The 12294-nt window shown below is 42.1% G+C and overlaps 2 annotated features.

Annotated features, from left to right (window-relative positions):
• Window positions 3035-4234: an enhancer, noted in NCBI's record as "BRD4-independent group 4 enhancer chrX:107234349-107235548 (GRCh37/hg19 assembly coordinates)". NCBI's record gives its function as "activates an origin of replication core promoter dependent on BRD2, P300/CBP, MED14 and CDK7 cofactors, and independent of BRD4, by STARR-seq in HCT116 cells {active_cell/tissue: HCT116}" and the evidence as "EXISTENCE:reporter gene assay evidence [ECO:0000049][PMID:35650434]".
• Window positions 7969-8674: an enhancer, noted in NCBI's record as "NANOG-H3K27ac hESC enhancer chrX:107239283-107239988 (GRCh37/hg19 assembly coordinates)". NCBI's record gives its function as "activates a minimal SCP1, AML or CMV promoter by ChIP-STARR-seq in naive H9 embryonic stem cells {active_cell/tissue: H9 hESC(naive)}" and the evidence as "EXISTENCE:reporter gene assay evidence [ECO:0000049][PMID:30033119]".

Consider the following 12294-nt stretch of genomic DNA (forward strand, 5'->3'; position numbering starts at 1 on the left):
ATTGCCCTGGCCAGAACTTCCAACACTATGTTGAATAGGAGTGGTGAGAGAAGGCATCCCTGTCTTGTGCCAGGTTTCAAAGGGAATGCTTCCAGGTTTTGCCCATTCAGTATGATATTGGCTGTGGGTTTGTCATAGATAGCTCTTATTATTTTGAGATACGTCCAATCAATACCTAATTTCTTGAGAGTTTTTAGCATGAAGGGCTGTTGAATTTTGTCAAAGGCCTTTTCTGCATCTATTGAGATAATCATGCGGTTTTTGTCTTTGGTTCTGTTTATATGCTGGATTACGTTTGTTGATTTGTGAATGTTGAACCAGCCTTGCATCTCAGGGATGAAGCCCACTTGATCATGGTGGATAAGGTTTTTGATGTGCTGCTGGATTTGGTTTGCCAGTATTTTATTGAGGATTTTTGCATTGATGTTCATCAGGGATATTGGTCTAAAATTCTCTCTTTTTTTTTTATTGTGTCTCTGCCAGGCTTTGGTATCAGGATGATGCTGGCCTCATAAAATGAGTTAGGGAGGATTCCCTCTTTTTCTATTGATTGGAATAGTTTCAGAAGGAATGGTACCAGCTCCTCCTTGTACCTCTGGTGGAATTCGGCTATGAATCCATCTGGTCCTGGACTTTTTTTGGTTGGTAAGCTATTAATTATTGCCTCAATTTCAGAGCCTGTTATTGGTCTATTCAGGGATTCAACTTCTTCCTGGTTTAGTCTTGGGAGGGTGTATGTGTCCAGGAATTTATCCATTTCTTCTAGATTTTCTAGTTTATTTGCCTAGAGGTGTTTGTAGTATTCTCTGATGGTAGTTTGTATTTCTGTGGGATCGGTGGTGATATCCCCTTTATCATTTTTTATTTCCTTTATTTGATTCTTCTCTCTTTTCTTCTTTATTAGTCTTGCTAGTGGTCTATCAATTTTGTTGATCTTTTCAGAAAACCAGCTCCTGGTTTCATTGATTTTTTGAAGGGTTTTTTTGTGTCTCTATCTCCTTCAGTTCTGCTCTGATCTTAGTTATTTCTTGCCTTCTGCTAGCTTTTGAATGTGTTTGCTCTTGCTTCTCTAGTTCTTTGAATTGTGTTGTTAGGATGTCAATTTTAGATCTTTCCTGCTTTCTCTTGTGGACATTTAGTGCTATAAATTTCCCTCTACACACTGCTTTGCATGTGTCCCAGAGATTCTGGGATGTTGTGTCTTTGTTCTTGTTGGTTTCAAAGAACATCCTTATTTCTGCCTTCATTTCCTTATGTACCCAGTAGTCATTCAGGAGCCGGTTGTTCAGCTTCCATGTAGTTGAATGGTTTTGAGTGAGTTTGTTAATCCTGAGTTCTGGTTTGATTACACTGTGGTCTGAGAGACAGTTTATTATAATTTCTGTTCTTTTACATTTGCTGAGGAGTGCTTTACTTCCAACTATGTGGTCAATTTTGGAATAAGTGCAATGTGGTGTTGAGAAGAATGTATATTTGGGGTGGAGAGTTCTGTAGATGTCTATTAGGTCAGCTTGGTGCAGAGCTGAGTTCAGTTTCTGGATATCCTTGTTAACTTTTGGTCTCGCTGATCTGTCTAATGTTGACAGTGGGGTGTTAAAGTCTCCCATTATTATTGTGTGGGAGTCTAAGTCTCTTTGTAGGTCTCTAAGGACTTGCTTTATGAATCTGGGTGATCTTGTCTTGGGTGCATATATATTTAGGATAGTTAGCTCTTCTTGTTGAATTGATCCCTTTACCATTATGTAATGGCCTTCTTTGTCTCTTTTGATCTTTGTTGGTTTAAAGTCTGTTTTATCAGAGCCTAGGATTGCAACCCCTGCCTTCTTTTTTGTTTTCCATTTCCTTGGTAGATCTTCCTCCATCCCTTTATTTTGAGCCTATGTGTGTCTCTGCATGTGAGATGGGTCTCCTGAATACAGCACATGGATGGGTCTTGACTCTTTATCCAATTTGCCAGTCTGTGTCTTTTAATTGGAGAATTTAGCCCATTTACATTTAAGTTTAATATTGTTATGTGTGAATTTGATCCTGTCATTATGATGTTAGCTGGTTATTTTGCCCGTTAGTTGATGCAGTTTCTTCCTAGCCTCGATGGTCTTTACAATTTGGCATGTTTTTGTAGTGGCTGGTACCGGTTGTTCCTTTCCATGTTTAGTGCTTCCTTCAGGATCTCTTTTAGGGCAGGCCTGGTGGTGACAAAATCTCTCAGCATTTGCTTGTCTGTAAAGGATTTTATTTCTCCTTCACTTATGAAGCTTAGTTTGGCTGTATATAAAATTCTGAGTTGAAAATTCTTTTCCTTAAGAGCGTTGAATATTGGCCCCCACTCTCTTCTGCCTTGCAGAGTTTCTCCAGAGAGATTAGCTGATGGGCTTCACTTTGTAGGTAACCTGACCTTTCTCTCTGGCTGTGCTTAACATTTTTTCCTTAATTTCAACTTTGGTGAATCTGACAATTATGTGTCTTGGAGTTGCTCTTCTCGAGGAGTATCTTTGTGGCGTTCTCTGTATTTCCCTAATTTGAATGTTGGCCTGCCTTGCTAGGTTGGGGAAGTTCTCTTGGATAATATCCTGCAGAGTGTTTTCCAACTTGGTTCCATTCTCCCTGTCACTTTCAGGTATGCCAATCAGATGTAGATTTGGTCTTTTCACATAGTCCCATATTTCTTGGAGCCTTTTTTCATTTCTTTTTATTCTTTTTTCTCTAAACTTCTCTTCTCGCTTCATTTCATTCATTTGATCTTCAATCACTGATACCCTTTCTTCCAGTTGATTGAATCAGCTACTGAAGCTTGTGCATTCATCACATAGTTCTCATGCCATGGTTCTCAGCTCCATCAGGTCATTTAAGGACTTTTCTACACTGGATATTCTAGTTAGCCATTTGTCTAATCTTTTTTCAAGGTTTTTAGCGTCTTTGCCATGGGTTCGAACTTCCTCCTTTAGCTCAAAGAAGTTTGATCGTCTGAGGCCTTCTTCTCTCAACTCGTCAAAGTCATTCTTTGTCCAGCTTTGTTCCATTGCTGGCGAGGAGCTGTGTTCCTTTGGAGGGGTAGAGGCACTCTGATTTTTAGAATTTTCAGCTTTTTTGCTGCTTTTTTCCCCATCTTTGTGGCTTTATCTACTTTTGGTCTTTGATGATGGTGACGTACAGATGGGATTTTGGTGTGGATGTCCTTTCTGTTTGTTAGTTTTCCTTCTAACAATCAGGACCCTCAGCTGCAGGTCTGTTGGAGTTTGCTGGAGGTCCACTCCAGACCTTGTTTGCCTGGGTATCAGCAGCAGGGGCTGCAGAACAGGGAATGTTACTGAACGGCAAATGTTGCTGCCTGGTCGTTCCTCTGGAAGCTTCGTCTGAGAGGGGTACCCGGCCGTGGGGGGTGTCAGCCTGCCCCTACTGTGGGGTGCCTCCCAGTTAGGCTATTCGGGGGTCAGGGACCCACTTGAGGAGGCAGTCTGTCCGTTCTCAGATCTCCAACTCCATGCTGGGAGAACCAGTACTCTCTTCAAAGCTCAGTTGGAATTGCAGAAATCACCCATCTTCTGCGTCACTCACGCTGGGAGCTGTAGACTGGAGCTGTTCCTATTCGGCCATCTTGGAACCCAGTCCTTGGACTCTTCGTTTGTACACTTTTCAAAAAAATGAACCAGGTGGGTAAATCAATTGAAAGTTGCATATTTCATGGAAAAAATAGCCTAAACATGTCTCTATCTGTGGGATAACTAGTGGCACATTTGTGAATAAAACTCCGTACATTCACTATACAGTCTCAATAGTAGCCAGGAAGGAAAGACAGGGCCTTACACACGTTAGGTGCTCAATAAATGTTCATTGGTGATAGATGGCTGGTGAAAGGCAGGCCTACAATTGGAATTGAGTCTCAAAGATGATAGAAAGCGAAAGGCTGGTCTACCAGTTTGTGGCAACTGCAGGTGGCAGTGACTCTGGATCTGAGGCAAGCAGGGGTTAGGAAATCCTTAAGGGAGAGAAGATCAGAAAAGATACTGTCGACAAGAATAATGTGTAAACACTAATGGGGGTGGTAGCAACTTCGAGGTGTTTATTGTGGTTGTTACCACTTTGAGGACATCAAAGGAGTTTACTGGGAAGGGCCTGCTCATTTCACTTCACATTCTTTTTCTTTTTTTCAAGGCTCACTCTACCCAAGGGCTTAGTAAGCAGTTGCCTATGCAGCATGGGAAAGTTTTCCTCGCCCAAAGACCTGATCCTTTTCACATTCCCAGGCCTTCAGTTTTCACCACAAGTCTCATGAGATAAGGTGGTTGAAAGCACTCTATGGTCAAGAAACAAGAAACTATTTGCAGCCTGTTAACACCTGACCTCTAATTAGGTTAGCATATTAGCTCCTGACTGTTTCCCAGGAGTCTAGAACTTACAGAACAAGTGACTTCTAGTAGTTAGAAGAGGAGAGGGGAAGAGGAGGTTCTGGAGCACTGGTAGACAACATGGCAGGCTTGGTCTGGGCATATCTGTAAGTGCCTAAACTGGAGAAGGAGGTAATGGCCTGGGGAAAGAAGGTGTACACCACTAACAAGTGTCACCTACTTGCCAGTTTTATTTATAGTTGATCCAGTTTCTCTTACTCTCCTGTGTCTTTCTTGCTTTTCTAACTCTAGAAAACCTTCCCTGAATGAGTTGGAGGTGCAGTAACATGTTCCATTCCCTAGTGGGAATGTCTCATGCTCCACCTCACCAAACCACTCCTTAATCCCCATTAGAATGAGCTGGGGGTATGCCCCCTTTTCCAAAAGAAACAGATATTAATAATTGCATTAGTCCATTCTTGCATTGCCATAAAGAAATACCTGAGACTGGATAATTTATAAAGAAAAGAGATTTTATGAACCATGAACCTAGACCAGACTCATGGTTCTGCACACTGTATAGGAAGCATGATGCTAGCATCTGCCTGGCTTCTGGGGAGGCCTCAGGAAACTTACAATCATGGTGGAAGGCAAAGGGGGGGCTGGCATGCCACCTGGCTGGAGCAGGAGGAAGAGAGATTGAAGGGAGAGGTGCCACACACTTTTAAATGACCATATCTCATGAGAACAAACTCACTATTTTGAGGACAGTACCAAGAGGGATGGTGATAAATCATTCATGAGAAACTGTCCCCATGATCCAATCACCTTACAATTTGACATGAAATTTGGGCAGGGACACAGATCCAAACCATATCAATAATATTAATAGCAATAGGAATTATTACTGTTAATATTAATAACAATAAGAAGCTACTAATTCTTGTACAGGCATGGTACATTACTAAATTTTCTTATCTAATTCTATGAAGTAGATATTTATTTTCTTGATGTTACTTATGAGACTCAGAGCCATCAAGTAATATGCCAAAGGCCATACAGGTAGTAAGTGGCAGAGCCAAAATTCAACCCTATATCTGACTCTAAAACCTGTGCTCTTAACAATCAAACATCTTCATACAGACTTCAGCTAGAGGTAGAGGAAGAAGGAAGAGGTAGACATAAAACAATTATTCCACGCAACAAATGTGTCTGTACTTCCTACTATGCGTTGAACCTATGGAGTATGAAAAGATCAGTGTGTACCATCCCTGCCCTTAATAAGATTAGTTCAACAGAGGGGATATGACCATTGTTCTAATAGCTCTAATAAAAGGCAGAGTTGGACCAGTCCCATAACATAATAATGATAATAGCTACCATTTATTAAGAGTATAGTATGTGTCAGGCACTGTGCTAACACATTCTACATATATTTAATCTTCATGACAGTTCTGGAACTATTAATATTAGTCAATTTTATACATGAGAAAACAAGACTAATAGAGGGTTAATTAACTTCTGTGGCTCAGAATAATGTGTTACTGTGCTCTTCAGAAGCAAAAGGAGAGAACTGGACTCAATATTCACTTATACAATATTTTTGAGTGAACAAAGTATTTGTACCCAGCTCAGTGCCTACAAACCAGAATCACCACCTGCTTCTGTATCACCTGCACTTCAGCCAGCACTGAATCTGAAGTATCTTGACATTATACTTTCATTTCATTTGGAACCTTGATAACAGTGAAGCCCACTAGAGTCCTATCACTGGCTACCACTACAAATGCCCCCCACATCCTTTTTATGTTCAAAACCATTTATTGATTATGAATATACTAAGTGCCACTGAATGGTACACTTTAAAATGGTTAAATTGGTAAATTTCATGTTAAGTGTATTTTACAATAAAAAACATTTGTTAAACAAAATGTTAATTTTTATGAAAAGTGTAATATACATTGCTTGCTTCCAAAAAGTTAATCTTCCTGCCAAAAAGTTTCCAAAGCTGTATAATTAGGGCAACAGAACCTTTTTCCAAGGAGAAAAATAGACAGCTCTACTGCCACCTGGGCAGACTTTTGGAGAGCAGTTTTGCTTCCATTGTCTCTCATATTCCTATAGGTTGTGCTTCTTATCCCAGCCCTTCTTTCCACATCTTCCTTTTCTCATAAATATTTCTACTATGTTCCCCAGATTCTTTGTTGTGTGGTAAACAAGCTGTCTTACATGCTCACCCTTGTCACCAAATGCTACTTGTGCCTCCTTGCCTTACTTGACTCAACTTTTCTCTAAGGACGCTGTTGGAGTAGTGGAGAGTGGAGGATGCCCATTCTAATACAGGGACTGGAGACGGGGCTGGCATTCTCTAGATTTCCTGAGGCTGTTTCCAGGCCGTTGTTTGTCTTCCTTGCTGGAACCACCACTTTAACCCATGCCAGATGAATCAATCACTTACCACAGCTCATCTCTGTTGCCTGGCCACTGGTCATGCCCCCAAAGTAATCCAGGCCTTTTGGCCTCTAACACATATCTTTCCTTGCCAACATTCATCTCATTGTCCTGGGGGGTTTCAAAGTCCAAATGGTTTATTACTCCAAACCATTGGCCTAGCAGTTCCTGACTTTTTGAAACATAATGACCTTGACCTGCCTCCATTTTAGACATCCTCTTTCATGTCCACTCTCTAGACTCGTGCAGCTTAATATAGTAGCCACTAGCCACAGGTGATTGTTGAAATTTAAATTAACTGAAATTAAATAAAAATTTTAAATCAGCTCTCACTTGCACCAGCCACATTTTAAGTGCTCAATAGCTATGTGTGGCTAGTGGCTAACATATCAGATAGTGCAGACAGAAAATTTCCATCACCACAGAAAGTTCTATTAGATAGCATAGCTTCCAACATTGTCCTCGCCCAGAATATATACTTCTGCTCCACTGCAGAAATATAAAAAAATGTAACCAAATGTGGTAGCATGTGCCTATAGTCACAGCTACTCAGGAGGCTGAAGCAGGAAGACCATTTGAGTCCAAGGAGTTTGAGGATGTAGTGCACTATGATCATTCCTGTGAATAGCCACTATACTCCAACCTGTCTGTCTCTTAAACAAACAACCAAAACCAAAACAAAACAAAACAAAAAAACTTCACTCCAGCCTGGGCAGCAGAGTGAGACCCAGTCTAAAAACACAAAAACAAAAAAGAGTAAAGAAATAAGAGTCCCTAAATTTAAAGGCACAAAAATATTGCATCAGGAAAAATGGCAGGTAGGAGGAAGGACTAACTTGCAGCTCCCACTTGGATGGACAGGGTAGTGTGCAGAGGAGACTCAAATCGTGAACTTTTGCTCCAAGAACTACTGCAGGAACATACCAGGAAAGCTGAGAGAATCCACAGACCCTTTGAAAGAAGTGGCTTGCTGCTGCAGGCTCTGTGAGACAGATGAAAAACTGTGAGCGCCCAAAGTGTGAGAGGGGGAACATTTGCCCCTAAACACATATCCTCACTGGGGATCCTGAAGATCCAGATCATGGGAGAAGGATTTGACCTTACCTGGAGCTGAGTTGAATTTAGAGAGCTGAGCAAAATACAGGGATATAGGAGGCAATGGGAAGAGCCCTGTGGGCACTCTCAGTCCCCAGGGAAGCCATTCCTGACTTTGTCTCACAGGAATCCATGGGGTGGGCTGTCAGTGGAATTGGGGAAAGCCCACAGGGAGAAGGAAACTTCTAGCTGAACTGGGTAACAATTTTGACTGAATGCAAAGTTTCCTGGACAGAATCCATGGGAGGGAGCAAACGGGGAGTGTGGATACAAGCAAGGTAACTGTGGCAGGCAGGGAAGCATGAACCCTGAAAGCCCTACTTGCTTTCTCAGTGGGGAGGCTTGTAGCCTGGGGCAAGTTCTCAGCCCTGCTCACCAGCTGCCTGGGAACAAACTCAGTGCAGTTGGCGGGGGCATGGTGGAAGTAAGACTGGCCTTTTGGGCTGTGTGGGAGCCCGGTGAGACCTGTCACTGCTGCTTTCCCCCACTTCCCTGGTGACCTGTATGACACAGCAGAGACAGCCATAGTCTGTTGCGGGAAGTCAGGGACCCCAAACGGAGGGACCGGCTAAAGCCATGACAGAAGAATGTGGATTGTGAAGATTTTATGGACATTTATTAGTTCCCCAAATTAATACTTTTGTAATGTCTTATGCCTGTCTTTACTGCAATCTCTAAACATAAATTGTAAAGATTTCATGGACACTTATCACTTCCCCAATCAATATCCTTGTGATTTCCTATGCCTGTCTTTGCTTTAATCTCTTAATCCTGTCAGCCAAGAAGGATGTGTATCATCTCAGGACCCTGCAATAATTGCGTTAAGTACACAAATTGTACAGCATGTGTGTTTGAGCAATATGAAATGTGGGCACTCTGAAAAAAGAACAGGATAACAGCAATTGTTCAGGGAATAAGAGAGATAACCTTAAACTCTGACCGCCGGTGAGCTGCGCAGAACAGAGCCATATTTCTCTTCTTTCAAAAGCAAATGGGAGAATTATCACTGAATTCCTTTTCTCAGCATGGAACGTCCCTGAGAAAGAGAATGCGCACCTAGGGGTAGGTCTCTGAACTGGCCCCCCCGGGGCGTACCTGTCTCTTATGGTCGAGATTGCAGAGGTGAAATAAACTCCAGTCTCCCATAGTGCTCCCAGGCTTATTAGGAAGAGGAAATTCACACCTAATAAACTTTGGTCAGACCGGTTGATCTCAAAACCCTGTCTCCTGATAAGATGTTATCAATGACAATGGTGCCCGAAACTTCATTAGCAATTTTAATTTCGCCTCCATCCTGTGGTCCTGTGATCTCGCCCTGCCTCCACTTGCCTTGTGATATTCTATTACCTTGTTAAGTACTTGATGTCTGTCACCCACACCTATTCGTATACTCCCTCCCCTTTTGAAACTCCCTAATAAAAACTTGCTGGTTTTTGTAGCTTGTGGGGCATCATGGATCCTACCAACGTGTGATATCTCCCCCGGACACCCAGCTTTAAAATTTCTCTCTTTTGTACTCTGTCCTTTTATTTCTCAAGCCAGCCGATGCTTAGGAAAATAGAAAAGAACCTACGTGATTATCGGGGCAGGTCCCCCGATAATAGTCCCCCTGGGAACGTAATTCCATTGGCCTGATAACCACACTCCCATCCGCCACAGCAGCCACAGCAAGCTCTGCCTAAGGAGAGTCTGAGCTCAGACACAACCAACCGTGCCTCCACCTTATGGTCTTTCTCAACCCACCCTGGTAGCTGAAGACAAAGGGCATAATCTCTTGAAAGCTCTATGGCCCCACCCTCTGCCTGAGACACCCCGAATACTTATCCACCTGACCCTAGGGCAAGCTTATATCCTCCCTATACTACCGCAGCTGACATTGTCTTGAAAGCACCACCTCCTGGCTGGAGGCCAACCAACACAAAACCAGTGCACTAAACAGAACTACAACCAAGGACCCTCACAGAGTCCACTTTACTCCCCTGCTACCACCAGTGGAGATACACAGGTGCACAAATGGCTAACAAACATATGAAAAAATGTACAACATCACTAAACCACGAGATGCAAATCAAAACCATGATGTGATACCACCTTACTCCTGCAAGAATGGCCATAATAAAAAAATAAAAAACATAGATGTTGGCGTGGATGTGGTGAAAAGGGAACACTTTTACACTGCTGGTGGGAATGTAAACTAGTCCCAGCCACTATGGAAAACAGCCTGGAGATTTCTTAAAGAACCAAAAGTAGATCTACCTTTTGATCCAGCAATCCCATTACTGGGTATCTACCCAGAGGAAAATAAGTAATCATACTAAAAAGATACTTGCACACATATGTTTATAGAAGCACAATTTGCAATTGTAAAAATGTGGAATCAGCTGAAATTCCCATCAGTCAACTAGTGGATAAAGAAAATGTGGTATATATATACCATGGAATACTACTACTCAGCCATAAAAAGGAATGAAATAATGGCATTTGCAGTAACATGGATGGAATTGGAGACCATTATTCTAAGTGAAGTAACTCAGGAATGGAAAACCAAGCATCATATGTTCTCACTCTTAAGTGGGAGATAAGTTATGAGGACACAAAGGCATAAGAATGACACAATGGACTTTGGAGACTCAGAGGAAAGGGTGGGAAGGGGATGAGGGATAAAAGACTACACATCGGGTATAGTGTACACTGCTTGGGTGATGGGTGCACCAAAATTCCAGAAATCACCACTAAAGAACTTATCCACGTAACCAAACACCACCTATTGCCCAAAACTCTATTGAAACAAAAAATAAAAAGCAAAAAAAAAAAAATTGAATCAAGAAAAAAACGTGTTTTGTATCAATTTGCTAGGCACCTTGCAAGGAGTTGAGGAGTTGTTAACAAAACAGACATTATCTATTAAGATTACTATATAACTATAGTAATCAAGACAGTATGGTGTTGGGGTGTCCACTTTTTTGCACAAGTAATTCAATGGAGGAAGGATAGACTTTTCACCAAATGATATTGGAGCAATTGGACATTCATAGGCCAAAACAAAACAAAAAGCCCCAGCCTAAGCCTCATACAAAAACTAACTCAAAATGAGTCATGAACTTAAATGTAAAATGTAAAACTGTAGGCCAGGTGCAGTGGCTCACGCCTGTAGTCCCAGCACTTTGGGAGGCCGAGGTGGGCAGATCATGAGGTCAGGAGATCAAGACCATCCTGGCCAACATGGTGAAACCCCATCTCTACTAAAAATACAAAAATTAGCCAGGTGTGGTAGTGCACACCTGTAGTCCCAGCTACTCGGGAGGCTGTGGCAGGAGAATTGCTTGAACCTGGGAGGCGAAGGTTGCAGTAAGCCGAGATCGCACCACTGCACTCCAGCCTGGCAACAGGGCGAGACCCTGTCTCAAAAAAAAAAAAAAAAAAAAAAAAAAAAAGTAAAATTGTAAAACTTTAGGACAAACAGAGGAGAAGAACATAGGAGAAGACCTCTAGGATCTAGACCTAGTCATAGGTTCTTTGGTTTGACACCAAAAGAACAGTGTATAAAAGGAAAAAAATAGAGGAAACTGTTCTATACCTTGAGTGTATTAATGTCAATATTCTGAGTATGATATTATACTATAGTTTTCTAAGATGTTACCATTGGGAAAAACTAGGTGGGGGGTACCTGAGATTGTTCTGTATTACTTCTTATAACTGAATATCAATCTACAGTTATTTCAAAATAATTCAATTTTAAAAAGCTAAGGGAGGTGAACATTTCAAGAAGGAGGAAATTATTAACTGGTTCAAAGCCTGCCAAGAAGTCAAGTAAGTTGAAAAATGAAAAAAAGTTTGACAATATGGAGGTTATTGTGACATGAACAAGAACTTTTCTTGCTGTAGTAAAGGAGCCGGAAAGCAGGTAGAAGTAGACTGAGCTTGCTCCTTCTCTCGCCATGTGACATACCTGCTCCTCCTGTGCCTTCCACCATGAATAAAAGCTTCCTGAGGTCCTGACCAGAAGCAGATGATGGTGCCATGCTACCTGTACAGTCTGCAGAACCATTTTTTAAAAATTTTATATATATATATAAATAGATAGATAGAGGCAGAGAGATAGATAGAGGCAGAGAGAGAGAGAGACAGAGAGAGAGACAGAGACAGAGTGTCACTCTGTCGCCAAGGCTGGAGTGCTGTGGCAAGATAGCTCACTGCAACCTCCGCCTCCTGGGTTTAAGCGATTCTCCTGCCTCAGCCTCCTGAGTAGCTGGGATTACAGGCACCCGCCACCATGCCCAGTTAATTTTGTATTTTTAGTAGAGACAGGGTTTCACCATGTTGGCCAGGTTAGTCTTGAGCTCCTGACCTCAAGTGATCTGCCTACCTCGGCCTCCCAAAGTGCTGGGATACAGGCGTGAGCCACTGCACCTGGCCAGAACCA

This window comes from Homo sapiens, chromosome X (genome assembly GCF_000001405.40).
Source record: "Homo sapiens chromosome X, GRCh38.p14 Primary Assembly".
Lineage (NCBI taxonomy): Eukaryota > Metazoa > Chordata > Mammalia > Primates > Hominidae > Homo > Homo sapiens.